This window comes from Homo sapiens, chromosome 1, assembly GCF_000001405.40.
Source record: "Homo sapiens chromosome 1, GRCh38.p14 Primary Assembly".
NCBI lineage: Eukaryota > Metazoa > Chordata > Mammalia > Primates > Hominidae > Homo > Homo sapiens.
Genome location: NC_000001.11, coordinates 54,968,455 through 54,993,426, shown reverse-complemented (window position 1 = coordinate 54,993,426; position 24,972 = coordinate 54,968,455). Strand labels below are relative to the sequence as shown.

The window sequence follows — 24,972 nt, the reverse complement described above, 5'->3', positions numbered from 1 at the left end:
TAGTTCCTCACCTGTTAAATGCTGACACCACCACCTGTCGCAGGGCACTCTGAAGATGATACAATAGCAGAGGACCGGGCCCAGCACATAGTAGGCTCTGGGGATGACACCCTCCTCCAGCTGACTAAGCCCCAGGCCTTTGGACCCCTGCTGGCAGTGTGACCCTGGGAAGATCACTTCACCTCCTTTCATGGAAGTGGGGTGGGCTAGAGACGTAGGGATGCAGAACGGAGCTGGTCAAAAGTAGATGTTTCTGCCACATCTGCAAAGTGAGCAAAAGTAGTGAGCTTCCCGTCAAAGGAGGTATGGGAGCAGAGGCTGAATTTGCACTTGGTGGAGGAGGGTTACCTCTACTCATAAAACTGACAATTACTGCACACTTACTAGGCACCTGGCTCAGGGCTAAGACGCCTGCCTTTATTATCTGGTGCCTCAGCACTGAGCCATTGATGGCGGTGTCAGTGTGAACTCACATGTCAGTTGCTACCATCTCACTGAATCCTCACAAATCAGCTCTTTGAGGGAATCCTCAATTCCCATTTTACAGATGAGGAGGCTAAGGCAGAGAGAGGAAAAATCACTTGTCCAAGTCACTAAGATGGTACATGGCAGACTGGGCACAGTGGCTCACGTCTGTAATCCTAACACTTTAGGAGGCTGGGAGTTCAAGACCAGCCTGGGCAACACAGCAAGCTCCCTCTCTACAACAAATTTTTTAAAATTAGTCGGGCAAGCTTGTGGTTTCTGCTACTTGGGAGGCTGAGGTGGGAGGATCTCTTGAGCCTGGGAGGAAGAGGCTGCAGCGAGTCATGATTGAGCCACTGTACTCCAGCCTGGGTGACACAGTGAGATCCTATCTAAAAAAAAAAAAAAGAAATGGTACCTGGTGGAACCTATACATAGGTGGTCTGAATTCAGAGGCCATGTTCTTCTGGTTATAAACATGATGTGTACCCCTGGGCCCCAGTTTTCTCACCTGCACACAATCTCCCAGCTGACAGCCAGCACTCACCGCTGGCCATAGGAGTGCCACCCAGGATGTCCTGGCCAGCTGGGCCCCTGAAGACTGTAGCCTCACCCATACCACGGAGGGCAGAACACCCCTAGCTGGGCCTAGGCAACTCATAGAGTCGTGAGACATAATAAAATGGGATTTATTTTAAGCCACTAAATTCTGGGGTGGTTTGTTATACAGCAATAGATAAATAGAACAGCCTTCAACAACGAACGTTTGCTGAGTGCCTACTGTGTCCCAGGCACTGCATAAGACTCTGGAGAAGGCACGGCATTTTTGTCTCTGGATTCAGGACCTGCTAGGAGCCTTTAACTTCCTCCCCGTGCAGTCTGAACCAGGCCTGAGCAGGAGCGTGTGGCACTCGGTGTCGTCTCCGCAGAAACGGCATCAAGAGCAAGGCTGATGCTCTCATAGCTGGGTGGAGGCCAGGCGGGCTGGGTGCTGAGCAGGGCATCCCTCGATCCACTTGGCTCCAGGGCTTCCTCCGTAGGGTATGCAGGTGGTGTTGGGGGCCCCTCGGCCACTGGGAAGCTCACGGCTTCCTCGTAAGTGGGGATGTCAACCACTTTGGGGGTCCTGCAGGAACAGAAGAGAGGCTGTTAGCAGGGGCTGGGGCAGACCCTGCTGCCTGCCAGAGAGACAGTGAGGAAGGCTGGGGGCAGAGAAGTCTTCACACCCTGCTCCAAGCCTTTGTGGCTCTCCAGGGTCACATATACGCAGTTGAAACTTGGCATGAGCCAGCCCCTGTGGCCCTCAGCCTTCCCGCCACCCACTCCCTGCGCCATAGAATTAGTTCCCTGTATGTGCTCCCAGCACCTCCTGGTGCCTCCTCAGTTCTCTCTGCAGGGTAAGTCCTACCCTAGGGCAGTGACTGAGAGTCCAGGGGCTGAGGGTAGCTGCTTATGGGTGTTTCATGTTGAAAGATTGAGTGATGGTGGTCCATAGACAGAAGACTCCCGCCTATTGAAATATCCTTTACAAGATCAGAATTGGGATGCCCAGGGCAGAATGGGAGACCTCAATTCCTCTGCCCATCTGGATGCTTTAGATTTTGATATGATGTCTGCCAAGTGATTATCTCTACTTGCATACCTCCAGGGATGGAGAGCTTACAACTTACCAGATCAACCACTTCTATCTCTGGACAGTTTGCTATCCTGTGACTCTTTTCTGGTCCCCACCCCTGGCCAACTAAACCACCCCACAGGGGCTTGAGGCAGAGACCAAGTTCTGCAGGCCAGACCCTGAGACAGATCACCCACGCCCCAGCCAGCCTAAGGCTGATAGGAATGAGACCAGCTGTCGGCCCCCTCAGAGCCCTGGCGGGTCATCTCTGGGGATCCAATGCCCCTCCCCAACCTGGGACACACAGTGGGGAGTGGGGTGGGAATGTCGCTGATCCTGGGTGTGGGCTGCTCTTGCTTTGGGGGTGATCCTGAAGGTCCCTTCCAACACTGAGGGTGGTTATGAGTCTGGGCACTGGTTGGTTCACCTCCCTGCTTGGACACATTCCTGCTGGGAGATCATGGGTCTGTAATTCCATTCATCGAGGCCTGGTTTCCTCATCTGTAAAATGGGGGATGGTAGTGGCACCTGCCTCACAGGACAGAGTGCAGGTTAAATGGGCTCACGGAGGGCAGCACTCAGCGCCCGGGACGTAAGTGGGGTTATGAGCAGAATCTCAAGGGGCTCCTGTGGGGAATGGGTCAGGGAGCAAAGCTTATCACAGGCCTCAAGATGGCAGGCCCCACAAGGCTGAGAGAGGCTGAGTCACTTGCCAGGCTCCTCAGTTTGGAGCTGCTGGGAAGCAGTTGATTCCATACCTGTGGTCCTGCTGTCTAGACCGAGGAGGGGCCAATGGCAAGAGGCCAGTCTGGGGAACAGAAGAAGCAGTAGATGGGACTTAGCTGACGGAGGGGCCCATGCTGGTAGATGGAACCTGCTGCTGCCCCTCAGGTGAACGCCCAGCACCCACCGGGGACCTGGACTTTCTCCGGCAATGTGTCTTCTCGGCCCACTGCAGCCTCACAGCAGCCTGCTGGGAGGCTCACTGCTCCCAATCACAGACCAGGGTGACGGAGCAGATTGATGGGATCCTGGATTTGAACCCCAGCCTGTATGTCAGTACAGGGCAGGGCACCAGCCAGAAATCCCTGGGACACCAGCCAGGAGTCCCAAACATGGAACTCCCTGTCCAGTGCTCCTGTGAACTCTCACAGACCTCCCTTCCTTCTCTGGAAGACAGCCGAGGAAGCTGAGATAGTGCCTGTCCTCACCCTCCTCTGAGCTCCCAGCATCCTTGCAGATGAGGGCAGGACAGAGAATATTCCTCCTGGAAGGAGGCAAGTTGGGTTCTACTGCTGTGTGACCTGGACCACATTTACACCTTCTCTGAACCTCTTTCTCCTCATCCGTAAAATGAGGATAATATTTCTCCTTTCAGATTCAGGGGCAAAAAAAAAAAGAAAAACAAATGTTTCACAACACTCAGAAAAGTGTAAGTAATTAGCTTCCAGAGCCCCATCTCCTGCCTGCTCACCTCCCAGCCATGCTCCAGCCCCACTTAGAGCCCTGGACACCTGAGACAGGCTTTGGGTAGGCCTGGGGCCATCCCAGCAGGTGACAGCTGGCAGGGCAGGGCACAGGTGCCGGTGAGTTCTGCCCACAGCAGGAAGTTTGCTTAGAGGGCAGATGTGAAGCGGCCCTCACACCACCTTCTGTCACCTTAGTGACCAGCTGGGCCCGCCCAGCTCCAAGTCGCCAAGGTCACAGTCGAGGATGCCAGGAACTCAGCAAGCAGGGCAGCTGCATCACACCCCTCTGGGAGCAGGCCCCATTCATGGATATGGCGCCTCGGCAGCTGTGTGGGGCAGTCCTGCCACAGTGGTCTCCCCGCACAGGAAGTGCCATGGAGGCTAGGGCTCACCCCAATCTTTGGAGTCTGGTTGGGGCAGGAGACCTGGGCCTGGCACCAGCTCCACTGCCTTTCAGCTGAGTCAGGCAAACCCAGGAAGAGTGGGGCAAGGGATGAAATACAATTTGCCCAACACTTAAGTTCTCTAATCTCCTTTCATATTCACAACCACCCTGGGGGGTAGAGGCCTGCACCCACTTTACAGATGAGTAAAGGCCATGTGTCAACTAAGTGGCAAAGCCCCAGCTTCGTCTGACTGCAAAGCTCAAGCTAAGTCCACCTATCACACCTCTCCCCCAAGCCACCTCATCTCTCCTCACCTCAGTCTTCTCAGCTGTCAAATGGGCCTAATCCTTACACTTACCTCATAAGCAGTTGAGGCTCAAATCTAGTGGGCATGAGGGCGCACTGTAAATTAAAACAGGAATAGCAGAGAAAGCAGATGTGTGTACCAGCTACAGAGTGCACGCTTCCCTAACTCTCATCTCATCTGAGCCTGACAGCGATGATAGGGAAAAGGTCTTCACCCCAGTTGAGAGAAGAGGTGTCAGACACAGCCTCAGAGAGTCTAAGTAACATCCTCAAGGACACACAGCTTCTAAAAGAAAGAGCAGGGACTACTGGAGGCCCCACATCCAGCCACCTCACTAAGGGGACTTACACTCAAGATAGGAGCTTCCTGAGGGCAGGGATTTTGTCTGTTTTGCCCACTGTGGCACCGTCAGTTCTCTGAATAGCACCCAGCATACCTACGTGTGCTCAATCAATATTAGGCACATGCATGAAAGAGTAAGTAGATGAATAAACGGGGAAACCGAGGCCAAGAGGGGAAGGGACCTGCCCAAGCCATCAGCCCAGGAAGGCTTTATTTCTGACCTAGAGTTACCCACAGCGGGCACCACCAGAGACTGAGGTGCCTGGGAGCAGGAATAGCAGAGTAGCCACCCATGGGGGCCAGGTGCTGGGCTCTGCAGGCAGCAGGGCTGGGCTGAGTCAGCCTCAGGACAGGAAAGAGCACCTCCAGCAGAAGCAGCCTCCTCGACCCCCAGCCCCCCAGTTTTGAGTCTACGACTGGGGTCTTGGAGCTCGATGGGCTACGATCACCCTGTGACCTCCTAGGTGGGCTTCCTCCCTGGCCCACTGGGAGTGAAGGCCAAGGGGCCCCACCTGCCAGGTGCAGCTGTGCCTAGACCCTGTTGCAACAACATGGCTGTGTGTACAGGCAACACCCACCCCCTGCACTCACGCCTGGCTGGGTGGGAGGAGCAGGCTCTGGTCCAGAGCATCTGGGGCCTGGCCTGGTTCCAACTGACCACTAACTCACTGTATCACCAGCTAGGTCACTTGGTCTTTCTGAGACCCAGGTCTCTCATCTGAGAAGTGAAGGGTTTGGCTGGAGAGTCCCCAAGGCCCTGCAATATCTAACACTATGTAAATGCTATGTAAATACACATGTAAATGCTATTTCAAGTATTTTGGATCCATGGTTGGTTGAATCATGGATGCAGAACCCATAGACAGAAAGGGCTGACTGTACTGCATCATCTCTAGCTTTAAGAAGTCACAGGCTGGTAGCAGGAATGCTCCTACATTCTTCGACTCGGAAAACATTTTCCCTGTTAAAACAGGGAGGAAGAGCATTCAGGTCCCAGGTCCCAGCAGCTCACGGCAGTCTGGCTTAGCCCCTCACACACAGGGATCCAGGGCTTAGGACTGACGTGGGAGGAAGAATGCCAGCCGTGCAGCCAGCAGGCTCCTGCCACTTTCTAGCTATGCCTCTCCTTCCTTTTCTGCAGACACAACAGTCATTCTTACCTTGCAGGAAATAGAAAAGACAGGAGGTGATGTACACAGGCCCCTAGTACATAGGCACACTCTGTACTTTGTTGAATACATAAGTACATAAAAGGGCATGCATAATACATGCATTCTCAACAGGACACACATTGGTTCTTGGGGAGGGTAATACTCTTTTTATGTATAAAGCACAGATATACATATAGAACATAAACAAATACACAGTGTATCTGGGGTGTTACAATTTCATGGAAGAGGATTTGGAAAAAAAAAAGTCTAAGAAGGATGGCACAAGGCAGGGTGGGGAGACCCATAATGAAAATAAAAGGTTGAGAGATGCTGTCTTCATGCAACACTTTGTCCCCAACCCCATACCTTTGTGCATGCTCTTCTGCCTGCCTAAAATGCCTCTTTTCCACCATGTCCACTAGAGGAAAAGTTGACATTTGCTGTGCACCCACTGTGTACCAGGCACTCGGCTAAAGCTCAACATACATATCTCATTTAATTTTCCCAAGTGTCACCTGAAGTAGGGAGTGGGCGTGAGCATAGACTCTGAGGCCAGACTGCCTGGGTTCAAGTCCTGGTTCTGACACACACTATCTGATGTCCTTGGCTGAGTTACTTAGTGTCTCCATGCCTCCTTTTCCTCCTTTACAAATGGAACTCATAACAGTAGCTACTTCAGAGGGCTGCTGTAAGGATCAGCTGAGCGAGTATGGAAGAGCACTTTGAACAGTGCCTGGCACAGGGCTGTACTGTAGAGGGGTTTGCTATTATTGCTGTTGCTATTAGTCCTTTTCATTTCAAATGAGGAAGTTAAAGCTTAGGGGGATTGCATGACCTACTCAAAGTCCCACTGCTAGTTTGTGATAGAACCAGAACAGGGTCCCAGTGGGTCTGACTCTTGCGCCTAGGCTTTTAACCCTCTGCTATTCTGTCCCATACCAAGCTGAGCTCAGCTGCCACCTCCTCCAGGAAGCCTTCCTGGGTTTCTCCATGTCTTTAAAAGCCATGCCTCTCTCACACAGCACTACCTACTCCGGTTTGTCATCATCAGCTTCTGTCATGGGGCTTTAAACTCCTTCAGGGCTGTACTGATCAGCTTCCGTGTACCCAGGACACAGGGCAAAGCCTGATCCAAAGGAGGAACCCCATGAGAATTTGCTGGAATTACAAATGCTGGCTGGTGGGCTGGTGTGACTGGGCCCCTACCTGCAGTCCCCACCCGCTGCCACACCCCGCCCTGCTGACCTGCAGCTCTCCTTCTCTGAGGACTCCACAGTGAGGTAGTACAGGTCTCTGGAGAGGTGATAGGGGTCCCATCGAGGTGGCCCTGGGATGCTGGCCTTGACGGACCACAGCAGGCCAATGAGCAGCAGCAGGCCACCTGCACCGCAGCAGACGAAGCTGACGGACCTGAGCAGGGGGCTGGGGCCCTCAGGCACCGGATACTCCGTGGGTGGGGCCAGCTGGCCAGGCTGGGCGGTTGCATCCCCTTCGCTCCACCAAGCGAAGCAGAGCGTCCCGGCCACCAGAACCACTGTGCCGCTGACTGTCATGCAATAGCGGAGGGTGGAGGCCAAGTGGCTCCCGTCACACATCTGGACACAGAGAAGGAGGGAGAAGAGGAAATGGGCCATATGAAAGGTGCTGGAGGCCAGGTGTTAATTCCTTTGCCTGAGGTCACTGTACAACCTTGGAGAAGTCACTTAACTCCTCTGGGCCTCAGTTTCCTCATCTGTGAAGTGGAGATGATGCCCCTGACTTTGCCGGGCTATTCTGAAGGTCAGAGGTAAACATGTATCAGCACCATGACTGGGAAATCTCAGGAGCTAAGTATGACCACTTTCACTCAGGGCCTCCCTCCAGGCCTCAGGGGCCCCATCTGCCTGGTGGGTCTAAAACTTCCCACCCTGACTGCCACACAGGAAGCTGGGACAGAGAAAAGTAACGCATGTTGGAACCTCCAGGCCTGCCAGGATCAGGGTTTGCTGGTTATGCACTGCCTGACTTCACCTGGTCATAATCTTGTGAGATGGACACTGTTACTGAATAGAGGAAGATACCGAGACCCAGAACAAGTGTGAAAGAGGGATATTGAAGAGTCTGAGGCCGAAATTCGCAACATAGAGCAAAACTTTATGGAAAAAGATGTTCAGCAAGCCAGGTGCAGTGACTCACGCCTGTAATCCCAGCACTTTGGGAGGCCAAGGCGGGCAGATCACCTGAGGTCAGGAGTTCGAGACCAGCCTGGCCAACAGGGTGAATCCCCATCTCTACTAAAACTACAAAAATTAGCTGAGCATGGCGGCACATGCCTGTAATCCCAGCTACTCGGGAGGCTGAGGCAGGAGAATCACTTGAACCTGGGAGGCAGAGGTTGTAGTGAGCCGAGATCGCACCACTGCACTCCAGCCTGGGCAAAAGAGTGAGACTCTGTCACACACACATACACACACACACACACACACACACACATACACACGTTCACCGTGGCCTTATTAATAATGGTCATAATTTGGAAAGTGCTAAAATGTTCAATTGTAAAGAAATGGTGAGTAAACTATGGCATAATCTCTAGAATGAATAATTAATATTAGCCCATTTTTTTAAAAAATCAAGCTCAGCACAAAGGTTTAACAAGAGGAGGAAACATTTATCACATCTTGCTTTTTTCAACTTAGTATACTAAATTATGCATACAGTGTTGTCTCAATTAAATAAAAGAATGCACGGGGGGAAAAACCTGGAAGGGTCCTGGCCCCGGATCACACAGATGTAGGAGGCGGAAACCTAGGTCTGAGTTGTCCCCAAAGCCAATTTCTAGGCTGTCCATTGTACCTTCCAGTCCCTGTACCTGTAACTTCCCATTAGCTCCCCTCAAGGCTCAGCTCAGCCTCACCAGGGAAGCCTTCTCTGAAGACACTTTAACTTTAAACCCCTAAGTGCCCTGGGCCACCTTTGCCACAGCAGAAACCTGTGCTTAACTTCTGCTTCACTTATCCCACTCCCCGGTCTGTGAGCTCCCTGAGGGCAGGGTCCATGCTGGCCTTGTTCACCACTATATCCCCTCAGTGCCTAGCATATAATAGCTGCTCAATAAATCCTCTGAACTGAGGGAAAGTGTTGCTGGATAAATCAATGCTGGTCGGGTGAAAATCCACCCTCACAGTTGTGAAGAGCTGGGAGAGAGGAGGCAGTGCAGGATTCCAGCTTCCACAGCACAGGGACATGAAGGACAGTCCCGGCTTTGGTCCCCCCTCTACAGCTGTATCATGGGATAAGCCTCTCACCTGCCCCGGGCCTGCTTCCTCATCGGATAAAAGGCAGGCTCTCTAGGAGGCTGCTAGGAGGATTTGCAGAAGCACTGTCTCCTCTTCCAGAGGCTGAGCCAGTGAAGCAGGCAGCGGGGGCCACAGACCTTAAAGAGAGGCTTCAGTGATCACAAATCCCTTCCAAGTGGGGCTTGCCCAGCCAACAACAATATATCCAAATGACATACTGCTGTGCGGCTGCTCAAAGGCATGATCCCATGGGAGCTGAAGGGCATGGCAAATGTTCAAGATGCAGTAGGTGAAACTTTAGATTTCAAAAGGGCATGTTACCAAATGTGTTTAAAAACACACGTGTGTGTGTGTGTGCATGTGTGTGTGAGAGAGAGAGAATGTACACATGTAAAAGGGGCGCTCTGGGAGTGGACCTCAATCTTTCTGCACCCCTAGACCTCTGGATGCATATAGAGAAATTCCATTTGTAAATTACCTGCAGTTCTCTTCCTGTGAATCTGTCCAGGGGGCAAGTGCCTCCTGTCTCCAGCTCAAAGCCTTTTCATGTAGGGAGCAAAAAATTCTGACTACTCCCAGTCCCCCATCCCCAAAGTCAAAGAGCTAGGAGAGGCTGTCAAGAGGAGAAACCTGCTTCTGGGAAAAAAAATTCAAAAAACAAAACACACAAGCAAATCAAGAACAGTAACCACTGCCTGTATGTTATGGTACTCAACAGTCCCCCTTTATACCTAGCATCGCACCTGCCTCCCTACAGGTGGGCAGGCCATATGAAAAGTCCCATTTTACAAATGAGGAGAGTGAGCCCAAAAAGGTGAAGGACCTGGTCCAAAGCCAGGTACAGCAGGGTTCTCAGCACTGGAGGAGCACACACCTAGGCACACCTGCGTGGGGCAACCTACACTGCTTTTTACTTTGTACCAAACAATAGTTGCTGCTCATTGTGGAAAAAGGAGAAAACCACAGAAGAGAATAAAAATTTAAAAATACAGGCTGGGCACAGTGGCTCACACCTGTAATCCCAGTACTTTGGGAGGCCGAGGTGGGTGGATCACCTGAGGTCAGGAGTTTGAGACCAGCCTGGGCAATATGGTGAAACCCCCGTCTCTACTAGAAATACAAAAATTAGCCAATTAGCCAGGCGTGGTGGTGGGCACCTGTAGTCCCAGCTACTCGGGATGCTGAGGCACGAGAATCACTTGAACCCAGGATGTGGAGGTTGCAGTGAGCCGAGATTGCGTCACTGCACTCCAGCCTGGGTGACAGAGTGAGACTCTTTCTCAAAAAAAAACAAAAAAAAAAAACAAAGCAAAACACAAATCACCACTAATCTTGCCTCTCAAAGATTAGCAAAATCCCCAGGTGGCTGTTTCCTGTTCATTGCCCCCTTGTCCTGCATACAGGATGATGGCAGCAGCAGATGTGTGCTGTGCATTTATCAGGCTGGGCATTTACCAGGCTGGGCACCATGCCAAGGACTTTACAGGTGTCCCCTCACTTAATCCCCACAACAGCACTGTGTCCTAAAGACACTGTGGCCACTAGGGTGACAATTTCTCCACAATTGGTGACCATAATAGGGTGACAATTTGTCCACTAGGGTTACTGCTGGATTTGGACCCAGGTCTAGTCTGAGTCAAATCCCTGTCTGTGTGTACAGCTAGGTCTATCAGTATTTTTTAATATAGAAAGTTGAGACCACGCTGCAAATAGATGTACTTGTCTTTGGCACGGGCAGCTCTCACTCTTTAGAATGCATGGCCCTCCTTCCCAGCTTAACTCCTCCCGGGCCTCAGACTAGCCCCTGCAACTGCCCTTTGCGTGTTCTCACATGGGGTCGGGGTCATTTTCTGTGTGGGTCTCGCTCCTTCCATGTGGATCCCCCACAGCAGGCAGGGCACATGCTAACCTGCCATCCTGGGGGACGGTTGGGGTGGAGAAGGTCAATGTCCACTGGATGAAGGGCAGCCTGTTCCATTGTGCAGTGGTTGTTTTCCTTATTATTATAGGTCAGGGATGTCACTATCAGCAGGCTGTTCTCACCCAAACTCCTTTCACCTGGACCCTCTACTAGACCTGTGCTCCTTCCACCTGGAGCGCCCTCTGCTTACATCCAGGACTCTCATTGCACCCCTTCCCAGAAGGCTGTCTACAGAAGCTGCCCCCACCTCCCTCCAGCCAGAGGAGGGTTTTCCGGGAATCAGATGCATCCATTGATCACCCCCTCTGACTACAGTGGTCATTCCCTGTTAGCTCTGTGACCACCCAGCATCTCTGAGTTCAAATCCCTGCCTGCAAGGGGAAAGCAGGTAATGAAAATGAGATGGCAAGACGGCAGGCTGTAAGTGAGGCACAGGGACACAAGGCTGGACCGAGGATGCACCCTGCTCTGACACTGGCAGGATCCAGCTTCTCCACGCCTTAGTGTCCTCCCTGTAAATGGGCACAATAATACCATATTGCTTCTCAGAATGAGAATATATTAAAATAAAATTTATTCTTATTATGATTATTTTTATTTCCACAGCAGTGCTCAGCACCTGTCCCTGCCCTTCATCTTGCCCTATCTGCTCACTGGTGGCAGGGCCAGCCTGAATCTATCATCTGCCCCCTGGCAAGGGGGCAGCATCTTCAGTAAAAGTCTAGTAGAAAGGCCCTGCTCCTGTCAGGAGAGTCCGGAGGACAGAGCCTCCCTCCTGCACCCACTCCTGCACAAAGCCAGGATGGAACGCCATGCCATTCTCCGTGCCCTACTCCATACCAATAAGGGCATTTTTGTTTTGTTTTGTTTTGTTTGAGATTCCATCTTGCTCTGTTGCCCAGGCTGGAGGGCAGTCCTGCGATCTCGGCTCATTGCACCCTCTGCCTCCTGAGTTCAAGTGATTCTCCTGCCTCAGCTTCCTAAGCAGCTAGGATTACAAGCGCCCGCCACCATGCCCGGCTAATTTTTGTATTTTTAGTAGAGACAGGGTTTCATCATGTTGCCCAGGCTGGTCTCGAACTCCTGACCTCAAGTTATCAGCCCGCCTCGGCCTCCCAAAGTGCTGGGATTACAGGCGTGAGCCACCGCACCAGGCCCCAATAAGGGCACTTTAGATGCCGCTTTCTGTAAAGACGAAACTGTCCGAACAAGAATTTGTTCTTGTTCCCCAATTGAGGCCCTGAGTGCCATGGCCTCAAGCCACCCAGCAAGATAAAACCCAGGCAGAGCCCCGGGTGTCCACACTGCCCACCAAGCCACGGTGACCGAGGTTAGGGGAAGGGGTCGGGGCAAGGTCGACGACAGAAGGGGCTGAGTGCCCGTAAAGGAGGGAGAAGGCCGTTTCCACCCACCTGGGGCAGGGCCATCGGGAGGCGGGCAGCAGGCGCTGTCCAGGCGCGCAGGGAGCCGGGCGCAGGTGAAGGTGTGGTGGTGGAGGACGCCAGGGCTGAGCGACCCTACCAGCGGCGACCCTCGGGTCTGCAGGAGGCGCGGGTGTTAGGGGCGGAGGGGCCTGGCCGCTGCCCCCGAGCCCTGCTCCCCAGCCCGCAAAACCGAGGTCTGGCTCCTGGGCCCTCCCAGGGCTCACCAGCCGCGCCCTCTCCGCCGCCCGCACCCGGTGCGCAGGGACCGAGCCAGGCCTCACCCCGGCGCCCGCCCCGAGGGCTGCGCGCTCCCCGCGGGGCTCTGAGGCTGCCGTGGGGCGCCCAGGGGAGCGCGGGACCCGGGCCTCGCCCTCCACTCCGGTGGTGACGCCCGCCCCACCTCTCCTCCGCGTCCTCGGGCAGCTCCAGGTGTCCAGCGCTGTCGCCCAGCCCGCCCCGCCCGTCCTTAAAGCGCCAGCACGATTGGGCTGGCGGGGACTGGGGCTTGCCAGCGCGGCGGGGCCCGAGGAGCCGCGGGGCTGCTGCTGACCGGAACGCCTTGGCGCGGATCGGAACCTTGGGTCCTGGGGGCCGTCACGCCCCCGCGAGCGCTCCAGGGCGGGCTTGGAAATGGAGACAAACTCCTCCGAGCCGTTAAGGCTCAGCCGGACAGGGCTTAGGAGTCCCGAGCCCAGTCCTGTTCACCCCCATTTTATAGAAAGGGAAACTGAGGCCCAGACAGGGGAAAGTCACTTGCCGAGGTGTTTGCTGCAGACTGCGTTGACCGAACCTGCTTTTTCACAGCAGTCAGACAGCAAGCCCTCCCGTCCCTCCAGGACCCTAGTTCCTGGGGAGGAAGGCGTTCTCAGCGATAATGACCAGCATTAAAGTGCTCCCCGTTACCGGCGTCACTGCCCCAGCCAGTGGAGGCCCCGGAGAGGGACTGAAGATGTGTCACCTAACTTCTCTGAACCTTCCTCCCTCAAGGAGAACTGATAATCCCTAACTCACAGTTCTGTGAGGATTGAATGCCTTAAGCATGCAGGTTAAGTGGCTACTGAAGGCAGTTTTTGTGGACAGGTGATTTGGGAGCCTGGAGGAAGGGTTACGTGCGCGCGCGTGTGTGCGTGTGTGTGTGCGTGTGTGTAAGAATCTTTCCGTGAGAGGACATCTGAGGTGCCTTAGGAGAGTAGGAGTGGACAACAGCATCCAGGCAGAAGGAGCAGCATGTAGGTGAAGTCACAGGCTGGTGAGATCCTGACAAGTTCATGTGGGCCAAGGGAAGCCATTTCCAGAACCAGCTGGGGTCTGGGTTTTGTTCTTGCCCTTTCCTGCTACTCCAGCAAGCCGGGGGACTGGGGCCAGCTTGCCACTGGCATGGCCTAGATTCCCCAGTGAGCTGGGGGTGACTAACTCTCTTCCCAGCCCAAGGATAGAAGGTGGAGCAGCCTGGCCGGCAGGGATCTGAAGCCCAGAGAGAGGAAGCCACTGGCTCCAAGTCACAGAGCAGGTCAGCGGCAGGGCCCTGGGCCCCCAAACTCTGTCTCTGAAGAAATATCCCACCAGGAAACTAAGGCTCAGAGAAGGGCACAGGCCTGTGTGTGCAAGGCTACAGAGCCGAGACAAGGACCAGGCAGACTTCCTTTGACTTTCAGTCTGTAGGTGGGACCAAGGCCGCTGGCAGCCCTCTTTGCACCCTTGTAGGCACAGGGGAGATATGAATGGGAAGCTGGAGGCCACAGAGCTTTTGGCTCCACTCATTTCCACAGGGCAGGCATCTGTGTGTGTTGTGGGCCCCTCACTGGTCAAAATGGACCCTCCCAGCCCTGCCTGTGTAGTCCCAGAAGTGAGTCACAGGTTGCTGATGTTGGGGTCCAGGCCTGGACAGGCTGATGTTGCTAGCACACCCCTCGGGCCCTGCTTCAACCTGAATCCCTGGGCCAGGCTGGAAGCTCAGGCCCTGGAACTGGACAAGTCACGGTTCCTTCCTGCCTTAGCCACTTTCAGACCAGAAGACTGGCCACATCTTTATCTGTAAAATAGAGACAATGGCACCTCCTTCCTAGAATAGCTATTGGGGTTTAGTAAGACCTTAGCCTGAGGAGCTGGCCAGGGTATGTCCTCACATGACACAATGGCTCTATTTGTGAATCTCCCCTAGTTTATGGGGACCTCCTGAGTGCAGGGACCAGGTGTCACTTGGCTCAGGACCCAGCCGGATGCAGTACAGCTGGGACCAGAAGGGGCTGGGCCTGGGTGCTAATTGAAATCCAGGAATCTAACCCAGGTTTTCTGGCTCTGTCTTCTTCCCCACCTTTCAGAAACTGGTCCCAGCGTCAGATCTGCGATGCTGCCCAGGCATGGTGGTGACCCTCTCTAAACAAGCACACTCAGAATTTCCCTGGCTCGGCTGGGCGACTCAGAAGAAAACTGGCCATCAGCTTCTGCCTCAAGCGGGTAGGGAAGGGAGCTACCATTTGTACCCACTTATCACATGTCACCAGCCACATACTCTTCCCATTTCGTTGTCACCTCAGCTAAGTCATGGAGGCTCAGAGAGAAGTGCATTGCCCAGGGCTCACAGCTAATAAGTGGGGATTGGGGAGAGGAGGTGCTGAAATCCATGTCAGTCTGAATCTTCCAGACCCGTATGCACTTCTCCAGTTTTTGCCACATTGTCCCCTCTTTGTTACAGCCTGTGTTCCTGCTCCTGCCTCTCACTGGCCTCTCTGCCCCCAAGCTGACTGCCCTTCATGAGACACCAGCTTGAGCTTCCAGACCAGCATCCCCATCAGTCTCTCACCTGCCAAACCTTTCAATGGCTCCCCCACTGCCCTCAGAATAACAACCCCAGCTCCAAGCATCCACAGTCTTGTAACCAAATCCCTGGCCACCTCCCAGCTTCACTTCCTGTGCTCCCTACCATATCATGCCTGAACTCACTGTTCACTGTGTCCCAGGGACAATGCCACACCTTGGTCACAAAGGCCCTTTCCTCACCTGGTGAGCTCATGCACTTCCCTTAAAACTCAGGTTACAGGTCACCTTTTCTAGGTGACTTCTCAGTGTCCCAAAGTAGTATAATCTGGTCCCTCTTCCAGGCTTCCAAAGGGATTTACAGGTCCATCCATCCTAGGCCTGAGCACACTGACAAAAACAAAACTGCATGCCTGCCTTCTTCTTCTTTTTTTTTTTTTTTTTTTCAGTGAAAAGAAATTGCTGGACATTGCAGAAAAATCAGAAAATGTCAGTAAGTTAAAAGAAATCAGGCCAGGCACAGTGGCTCAAGCCTGTAATCCCAGCACTCCGGGAAGCCGAGATCACCTGAGGGCAGATCACCTGAGGTCAGGAATTTGAGACCAGCCTGGCCAACATGGTGAAACCCTGCCTTCACTAAAAATACAAAAATTAGCCAGGCTTCGTGGCGGGCACCTGTAATACCAGCTACTTGGGAGGCTGAGGCAGGAGAATTCCCTGAACCTGGGAGGCAGAGGTTGCAGTGAGCCGAGATCACACCACTGCACTCCAGCCTGAGTGACAAAGACCCCATCTCAAACAGCTTCTAGTAGCAACCTACAATGCACAGGACAGGACAGCACCCCCAACAAAGAATTATCCAGTCCCAGATGTCAAGCACCGGGTTGAGAATCCCTGGTTTAGACTGCCTTAGTTAGGTTTTAGAGACTGGCTGGTTCAAAGGTTTGCACACTGTGTTCTACAGAGACTCTGGAGCTCCTGGGAGTGGAACGAGAGGAAGTGGACAGGGACCCCAACCACATTCCCCGGCCAGTCAGAGCAGGTGCCCTTTAGGTCAGCTTTTGAAGCTAGAGTTCTGTATTAGCTTTGCTTTGGAAAAGTCCCTGGGGGTAGGGGGGTGCGTAGGGAAAAGATTTGAATGCCATTACCCTGCTTTGATTTATAGGCCCAGAAAAGGAAAGTGAGTTGCCTGAAGTCACGTAGCAAATCTGAAGTACAACAGGGACCTAGACACAGAGCCTTGGTGTCCAGCACGCTTTGTACCACCCCTTAGCCCTATTGATAATCACTGACACCCTGGGCTAGGAGTCGGGCACCTGGGGAGTGCTGGCAAACTGTGGCTCATAGACCAGACCTGGCTCACTGCCCGTTTTTATACAGCCTGCCAACTAAGAATAATAGTTTCCACATCTTTTTAATGGTTGAAGAAAATAAAGAGTATTTCATGGCCGGGCGTGATGGCTCATGACTATAATCCCAGCACTCTGGGAGACTGAGGAGGATGGATCACTTAAGGTCAGGAGTTCATGACCATCCTGGCCAACATGGTGAAACCCCATCTCTACTAAAAATACAAAAATTAGCCAAGTGTGGTGGTGGGCAACTGTAATCCCAGCTACTCGGGGGCTGAGGCAGGAGAATCACTTGAACCTGGGAGGCAGAGGTTGCAGTGGCCAAGATCATGCCACTGCCCTCCAGCCTGGGCAACAGAGCGAGACTTTGTCGCAAAAATAAATAAATAAATAAGAATATTTCATTACATACAGAATTTTATGAAATTCAAAATGTAGCCTCTAAAAAGTTTTATTGGAACACAGTTGTGCTCATTCTTTACATACTACTTTTGTGCTACGATGTTAGAAGGAAATAGTTATGACAGAAACTGTATAGCTCACAAAGCCTAAATATTTGCTATCTAAACCTTTACAAAAAATGTTTGCTGGCCCCTGCCCTAGGCTGTAGCTCAGCCTGTCACTCATGTGCTGTGCAATCTTGGCCAAGCAACCATACCTCCCTGGACCTCATCACTTAAAAAATAGGGGTAAAACTTCTCTCCAGAGATGGGTGCCTCATTAGTTTTCTATTGCTACACAACAAATTATTATAAACTTAGCAGTTTAAAATAACATATATTTATTATCTCATATTTCTGTAAGTTAGAAATCTAGCTGGAGTCAACTGGGTTCTCTGCGTAGGGTCTGTCAAAGTCAAAGGCAAGGTGTTGGCTGGGCTGGCCTCTTGTCTGGAGGCTTAGGGGAAGAATCTGCTTCCAAGGTAATCCAGGTTGTTGGCAGAATCCAGGTCCTTGCCATAGGACTGAGGTCCTCATTTTCTTTCCTGCTGTCAGCCAGGGGGCCAATCTCTGCTCCTAGTGGCTGCCCCCTAGCCCCCTCCAACCCAGCAAGGGAAAACCTCCCTCAAGCCAAGTCTGCCTCGTGCCTTAAACCTGTCTGACTGCCTTTTCTACCACTAGCCAAAGAAAACTCTCTGCTTTTAAAGGGCTCCCATGATTAGGTTAGACCCACCCATCTCCTACCTTAAGGTCTGCTGATTAGTAATCTTAATTTCATCTACAGAATTCCTCTTGCCATGTCACATAATCAAAACATTAACATCGGAGGGCAAAGGCTATGAGAGCCATCTCAGAATTCTGCCTTCTGCAGGTGCTGTGGCAAGGAAGACAGAGCATGTGTGTTGTGAACACTCATTAGAGGATCATCCCTGCTGTGCCAGGTGCCATGGCGCTGGATGCAGAAAGCAGGACACATGGAAAGATGGTGTGTTCACAAAGAATTTGGAAGAAAGCCAGATGGTGACAAGAGTGTGTCTCTGAATGCCCCTTTTGGGGGTCACTAAAAATGCCCCAGGGTTTTTAGTTAGACCAAAAAGGAGGCTTCAAAGAGATGACTTCTGAGCCGGGTTGTGATACATCTAGGATGTCAACAGGCAGAGAAAGGGCAGGGACTGGGAGTAAGGAAAGAACATCTGTTCAAGGCAAAACACTGATTACCAAAGTTTCTATCATCCTTATGTTGACAACGGACATAATTTTAACCTTTTGTATAAGCCAGACTGTAAAGGATTATTAGCAGAATAAAAGCATCTATTGGGCCTGGTGCAGTGGCTCACGCCTGTAATCCAAGCACTTTGGGAGGCCGAGGCGGGCGGATCACCTGAGGTTGGGAGTTAGAGACCAGCCTGACCAACATGGAGAAACTCTGTCTCTACTAAAAATACCAAAGTAGCCGAGCGTGGTGGCACATGCCTGTAATCTCAGCTGCTCGGGAGGCTGAGGCAGGAGAATCGCTTGAACCCAGGTGGCGGAGGTTGCGGTGAGCTGAGATCGTGCCATTGCATTCCAGCCTGGGCAACAAGAGCACAACTCTGTCTCAAAAAAAAAAAAAAAAAAAAAGCATCTATTGAATGTGTACCAAGTGCCAATACCAGACACCAGGCTAGGTGCATTGTATTCTTAGCTCATTTAATCCTGAAAGAGCCCTACGTGGTAAGATTTTTTTCTTTTTACAACTTTATGATATATAATTTATATACTGTAAAACTCACTCATTTAAAGTGTACAATTCGGTAGCTTTCAGTATATTCACAGAGTTGTGCATCCATCATCATCAATTTTAAAACATTTCCATCACCCTGAAAAGAAATCTCACACCTCTTAACTATCACACCCTAATTCCTCATTTCCCCCAGCCTGAGGCAACGACTCATCTACTTTCTGTCTCTATGGATTTGCCTATTCTAAACGTTTCACATAAATGGAAACATACAATATGAGATCTGGCTTCTTTCATGTGGCATAATGTTTTCAAGGTTCCTCCATGTTGAAGCATGTATCAGTTCATTCCTTTTTATTGCTGAGTAATATTCCATTGTATGATATAAAACATTTTGTTTACTTACTGTTTGGTTGACAGACATTTTAGTTGTTTCTACTTTTTGGCTATTATGGATACTGCAGCTGTGAACATTCAGATACTAGTTTTTGTGTGAAAGATAAAAAATATGTTTTTATTTCCCTCAGTTATGTAATTTAGGCATGAACTTGCTGGTCATATGGCTAACTCTATATTTAACTGATTCTGGATAAGGTAGGAATTTTTATTTCCACCTAAGGATTGAGGAAACTGAGGCTCAGAGAAATTCAAATAACCAAGATCACAGAACAGAGTGTGTTTAAACTCAGGTCCATCCAACACCAAAGTTCTATACCCACTTGATTCTATGTACACATAAAATAGTACAGAAGTCTCTTTTACAATCCACCTCTCAAGATATTCATTTAGTGATTGCAGTGATCTTTGTTTAATCTGCTGTATCCAAAAAGTTATATTGCCTAGAAGGTTACACATAGTAGGTGCTCAATAAATACTTGTTCAGTGAAGGAGAGGCTGAATCAGTGTGGATGATTTGAAGGTGAATGACTAAGGTTGTGGCAAATCCTCCAAGATTCCTGTTGGGTCCAGAGTTGCATCAGACTTGGTGCCAAGATGATTTTTCAGGCTCTTGGAGCTGGCTCCAGCCACCCTGCAAGGGACACACTCTTCCCTTGAAACCAACCTTGAAAGGCCCTGCTGGTTCCTGGAATTCTGTGCCTGGGAGACAGCCTATTCATGGAGAGAAGTAGCTGCGTCCTCTGAGTTTATGCTCTAAAAAAGGAAATGACAGTCTGTGGGTAAGAAATGGATTAGAAACCTCAAGGCTTTGCCTTCCTTGGAATACATTTTTTGCCCAAGTGTGTCAGCCAGGGCTATTCTGCGGCTGCTGTTCTGGGAGGGCAGCCCTGGAACTTGGAACTTGGGGAAGCTGCATGCCAGCGGGAGGAGGAAATCTTGTCTGGGAACCAAGACAAAGAGCTAAGAGCTGGGAGGGTCTGTGGATGGAGAGGGCTGGTGACAGCCTGGACTCCAAGAGTGACCTCAGGGATTCAGGCAGACCCATGAAAAGGCTCAGATTCCGGGAAAGAGCCAGCTGCTCCCTCTGTTGACAGATTCTAAAAATCACAGCAAGCCCAGCTGTCAGTGTTGCAAAATCTCAATGTGCCGAAATTGGATGGGTGGGAAGACAGCTGGACAGGAGGGGCTGGTTCTGGTCCTGACTGTGACTTGTGGCCTTGGCCAAGTCCTCGCACCCTCCCAGTCTCAGTTTCCCGATCTGTAAAAAGTCGGATGTCCTTTCAAGTTCTGAGACTCTATGCTGGGGCTTAGTTCTCTTTCTTCCTCTTCTCCGTCCTCTTATTTTGAATTGAACTCACTAATCCACAAGTTTCCATTCAAATTGAATAGAAATCCTGGACTTTGTTGAGTCAGCATCTGGAGGCTCTTCTGGAATCACCTGCCTGCTACCCCAGGATTTCTAAAGAACCCCACTTCCTGCCTTAACCCCTGCCCCATGCACCAATCCCCCTCCCCATAGAGCCCCATTCACCCAAGGGCTGATGTCCCTCAAGAACCTCCTACTCAGCCCATTCAGACCAAATCATCCTTTCCCTCTAAGCCTTCTCCAGGCTCAGAGAATTGCACCTTTATCTGACCCTCCACCCACCCAACCCAGAACACCAGGGGCAGCAAAACGATACCCTGGTAGAAATGCAATCTCTTGCTCCCCTTTCCGGGCCTGGCTTCTCAACAGCTGAATGACAGGTTGGGCTTGATGGTGCCCAAGTATGGTGACAGGCCTGAATGCCGATTTACTCCTGACTCTGCCATTAGCCTGCAGAGTGACCCTGGCCAAGTAAGTCATTGCTGTCTGTGGCCTCGGTTTCCCCATCAGTAATTGAAATGGACCAGATGAGTGGGAACACACTGGCATTGGGGGCAGGAAATCTGGCTTCACCTAATGACCACCTAATGAATTAGGCTTCACCTAATTCATCACGCAGCCCTGGGCCAGTCCCTTCCCAGGTGGGCCACAGTTTTCCCTTCTGTCCAATGGGGAGGGTTGGCCTGCCTGCTCTCCAAGGTCCCCCTACCCCTACCTCTGACATTTTGGGACTCTAGCACCAGATTCTTTAGGTCATTTAACAGTTCCAGGATGTGTTTGTCTCCTCTCAATCACTGTAGAAGCTTCCAGATTGTTCTTTGGAACATTTGGAGGTCCCTTAACCACTGTGGCTTCCCAGAGCTGGAGAAAACTTGGCCAGCAGGAGCTTATATTCCATTATTTTAAATATAAAAATTAATATTGTATTCACAGCCCACCTAAAAAGCCCAGCCAATTTGTCCAAATAGCAGTAAAACATCCTTAAACATCTATTTAACAAACAACTAAGGGTTTCTACACAATATGAAGCCTTATAATCTCTATATAATACAAAGTGTTGACCTCATTTGATGTTATTGATACATAATGATACTGTACAGTAGTAGATGCATGTTATATTTTCTTTCAATGAACATTTACTGTAATGTAAATTACACTGAATGGTATATTAAACATGTACTGACTACAAGTGCCAGTTAGCATAACAAAATACATAAATAAACAAATTTGAAAATCACACTAATCAATAGAATAGTTTCCTCCGTGAGGTACAAGGGCAAGAGGAGGAGGTGGTGGCTATAAGTGGTAGGTGAGATGCCTGAGGTTGGTCCGTGTCCACATCCCAGGAACTGGGGATACCCTTTCTTTTTGACATTTGAGATTCAGGAAGTAAATGCCTCTGACTCATTATCTGAAGCCATAAATGAATCATTGGGTTAAAAAAAAATCCAAGTGCATACCTGTTTGCTTTTCCTTTGCTTACAGTTGTACAGCTCTGGGACCATGCTCTGGTCATTGCGTTTTTGCATACAACTAATCTGCTTGTGTCAAGGCCACACTCTCTTGTCATCATAGCTTGCCTGCCTGACGCAGGCGTGGGTGATGGGCACGTGCATCACCAGCCTCATTCTGTGCACGTGCCCCTGCCCTCAGCACTCTTCATCACTTCTGCTTTTTCTGTTAATGAAGAGTGTTTCTAGGCCACCTAAGCTCACTCACTTTCTTCCCTGGTTTTGCATTTTCCTAAAAGATATTTGCACTTATAATGTGAGGAAGATGCCAGCAAATGATGCCCAACACATTTGGACAATGCAATAAAGGGAGAAAGAGCTGAAACCGGACTGCGGTGCACACTACATAACGCTCACAGGAGCTCACCCACAACATACATGTTGTCACTGGCACACAAGTCGACCAATCAGGCAGGTATTCAATCAGGGCAGTGAATCATAGGTAATAACTTTGCAAGTCATCATCATGAGTATTCAGATAAAGAGGTTCAAATATCAAGGAATACCTGAATTTGACTGGTTATTTGTAATCCCCACAACTGCTGTTATTCCTGCTTCACAGATGGGGAAACTGAGACTCAGAGGGCTGAATTAACCCGAATGGAAACAAGATCTGTCATCCACTGTGTCCCCGTTCTTTCCGCCTCACAGCATGGCCCTGCACACATTGGGCTCTGCTTCTCCCCCACCCTATCGCCATTGGGCTAGATGGGGATTTTCTGTCACTCCCAATCTCTCCTTTGGCTCTCTTTTTCTGCCCTTACTAATCCCATGTCCCCGACCAGCCCCCTTTCTCTTCCTACCAAGCACAGATCATTAACACCACCTTAGTCACATGCTACTTGCCCTTAAAAAAGAAAAGGTATACCGGCCGGGCGTGGTGGCTCAAGCCTGTAATCCCAGCACTTTGGGAGGCCAAGGCGGGTGGATCACCTGAGGTCAGGAGTTCAAGACCAGCCTGGCCAACATGGAGAAACCCTATCTCTACTAAAAGTACAAAAATTAGCTGGGCGTGGTGGCGGGCGCCTATAATCCCAGCTACTCAGGAGGCTGAGGCAAAAGAATCGCTTGAACCGGGGGCGGGGAGGGGCAGGAGGGCGGGGGTTGCAGTGAGCCAAAATCATACTGCTTCACTTCAGCCTAGCAAAGAGTGAAACTCTGTCTCAACAAAAAAAAAAAAAAAAAGAAAAAAGAAAAAAAGGAAAAGGTATAAAGAAGGAATACATAGCCAAGTGAATCCTGGCTTCCTCTTCTCCAATGCCTGCAAATGAGGTCACTGCTCCCTCAACCACCAAAATAAATATACAGCCATACAGCCTGCCCCCCAACCCTCACAGGGCTCTGGGTAGAGTTCTGTGACCCCCTCCTTTGGTGACCAGGTGTCCACTGACTGTGCTGGACTGGGCAGAGCATGTGATGGCCCTTGCTACATTGCCCTAGACAACCTCATTCACTGCCGTGACTTCAGTTACTACTTCTCAGCTGATAAATTTTCATATCCAGCCTAGAGCCTCCTCCTAAACCTCAAACCCATTATCCTGGATTTCCAGCCTCATATGGCATAACCTGATCACCCTCTTGTGGTTCCAGCACCCACCCTTGCTCCTTCCTGTCTTTCAGGCTCCATATCTAATCAATAACCATGTCTGCTGATTTTGCTCTGGAAATATGTTTTCTATCCATTCATTGGCTGTCCATACCAAGACAGCCATCTCTGTTCCAGGCCTCTCATCTCCCCCCAAGACCACTGCAATAATTTCCCTCTGGTCCCTGGCCTCCTCACTCCAGTTCATTCCCCTCATGGCAGCTACCTGATCGCGCCACCTGCTTTGCTTAGGATTCTTTAATTTGCCAGAAACCAAATCTGATTAAAGTTAGGCAAGAACCGATTTAATATTGGGACATAGGACTACCTCACGTCACCATGAAAAGGGCAGGGATGAAAGCCAGGGTACCTTGACTCAATACCATCAGAATTCTCACCTGAAGTTTTGTGTTTTTACTTTTCCTGGTATATTGGTTTCACTCTCTCCTAATTCATACCAGTTTCTGCTATGGGATGGGCAACGTTAGCCACTTATCACCCCCAAGCTGCATATTCCTTATCTTCATCTAGCTGTCACCTCCAATACCAGCTACCACCTTTTGTTCTAGGTCTTAAAAATTCTGGGGACAATCACTTGAATGAGGTGCCCACCCCTGGACCAATAAACTGTGGCCAGGCAGCGGAGTCATGTAGCAAAGAAATGACAATGGGGGCCCATCCCTGCATATCAGGGCCTTTCTAGAGATGCGGGAAACTGACCAAGGCAGCCAGCCATCTAGATTGATGATGTCTATCGCGAAGGACTCCTCACTCATTTTAGTGCCGTCATCTTATTTTCTTAGTGGCGATTACATTGCCCCTTTGAGAATTTGATAAAAGGCATAGACTTTATTCCTAGAAAAATGGGCATTCCACAGATTTTGCATAAATTACAAGAGACGTGTAGACTGTCTAAAGCCCAATCTATGGTCCTCAAGTGAAGAGCTCCTGCCTTGGAATCAACGTCTTTGCCTGGCTTCCAAAGCCTAGCATGCTCTGAGCCCATCACTCTGCATCGGCCCCTTGTCCTTAGCACCTATTCTCTAGCCATGCCTGACTCCACATGTGGACAGAGTTGCTCCACATTTTTGCTTGTGTTTCTTCGCTGCACCACACACATGGAATTCATCCTGCAAAACTCAGTTCATGAATCAGCTCCTCCAGGAAAAGTCCCTGATTCCAGTCTACCCAAGCTGAGTTTCTAGATTCAAATTGCCTCTGATACCCCCAAACGCCATTACAAATCATTCCTAGTAAGGCTTGAAAGTGTTCTGGAAACTGTCCAGGTAGTCATAGAAGCATAAAGCACACACATCGATGAAAAGCAATTCTTGGCTATCTCCCAATAGACATTATTATGGTCCAGGCAAAGTGGGCCAAATCCAGGCTGTTTTTGTATAGCCTGTGAACTAAGAATAGTTTTTATATTTTTGAATCATCGACAAAAAAAAATAAAAATAATAATATTTTATGACATATAAAAA

At 50.5% G+C, this 24,972-nt stretch overlaps 1 protein-coding gene and 2 long non-coding RNA genes across 6 annotated transcripts in view, besides 2 other annotated features; 1 reads left to right on the top strand and 2 right to left on the bottom strand.

The window, feature by feature from the left end:
• Positions 1-1,138: 1,138 nt before the first annotated feature.
• Positions 1,139-12,799, bottom strand: TMEM61 (transmembrane protein 61). Of its 4 annotated transcripts, XM_011540911.3 has the most exons (4): positions 12,759-12,799; positions 12,347-12,473; positions 6,981-7,330; positions 1,139-1,591 (listed from the first exon to the last, which is right to left on the bottom strand). In XM_011540911.3, exons 2-4 carry the CDS (start codon positions 12,359-12,361, stop codon positions 1,324-1,326), a joined length of 633 nt encoding a protein of 210 aa, XP_011539213.1. In that variant the 5' UTR covers positions 12,362-12,473; positions 12,759-12,799; the 3' UTR covers positions 1,139-1,323. The 4 variants fall into 4 exon arrangements, with proteins under 4 accessions (XP_011539213.1, NP_872338.1, XP_005270643.1 ...); NM_182532.3 differs by having other exon boundaries at positions 12,347-12,799; XM_005270586.5 differs by lacking the exon at positions 12,347-12,473.
• A 167-nt stretch (positions 12,800-12,966) lies between these two features.
• On the top strand, positions 12,967-18,232 carry LOC105378736 (uncharacterized). Its single transcript, XR_947376.4, has 3 exons — positions 12,967-13,438; positions 14,680-14,815; positions 17,779-18,232. It is a non-coding gene; the product is annotated as an uncharacterized LOC105378736 (long non-coding RNA).
• Positions 18,233-19,384: 1,152 nt separating this feature from the next.
• Positions 19,385-24,972, bottom strand: part of LOC124904184 (uncharacterized) — a 72,878-nt gene continuing 67,290 nt past the window's right edge. The window contains exon 3 of the long non-coding RNA XR_007066103.1: positions 19,385-19,779. This is a non-coding gene — a long non-coding RNA (uncharacterized LOC124904184). The remainder of the gene's footprint in view (positions 19,780-24,972) is intronic.
• Positions 21,626-21,675: an enhancer, noted in NCBI's record as "active region_1069". NCBI's record gives its function as "activates an Ori minimal core promoter by ATAC-STARR-seq in GM12878 lymphoblastoid cells {active_cell/tissue: GM12878}" and the evidence as "EXISTENCE:reporter gene assay evidence [ECO:0000049][PMID:35858748]".
• Positions 21,876-21,945: a silencer, noted in NCBI's record as "silent region_927". NCBI's record gives its function as "represses an Ori minimal core promoter by ATAC-STARR-seq in GM12878 lymphoblastoid cells {active_cell/tissue: GM12878}" and the evidence as "EXISTENCE:reporter gene assay evidence [ECO:0000049][PMID:35858748]".

Bases quoted from the DNA above. Each gene is read 5' to 3' on its own strand.
- TMEM61 (NM_182532.3), bottom strand. The intron at 1,592-6,980 runs GTCAGCAGGGCG...CTGTTCCTGCAG, and splicing joins TCAGAGAAGGAGAGCTGCAG to GACCCCCAAAGTGGTTGACA.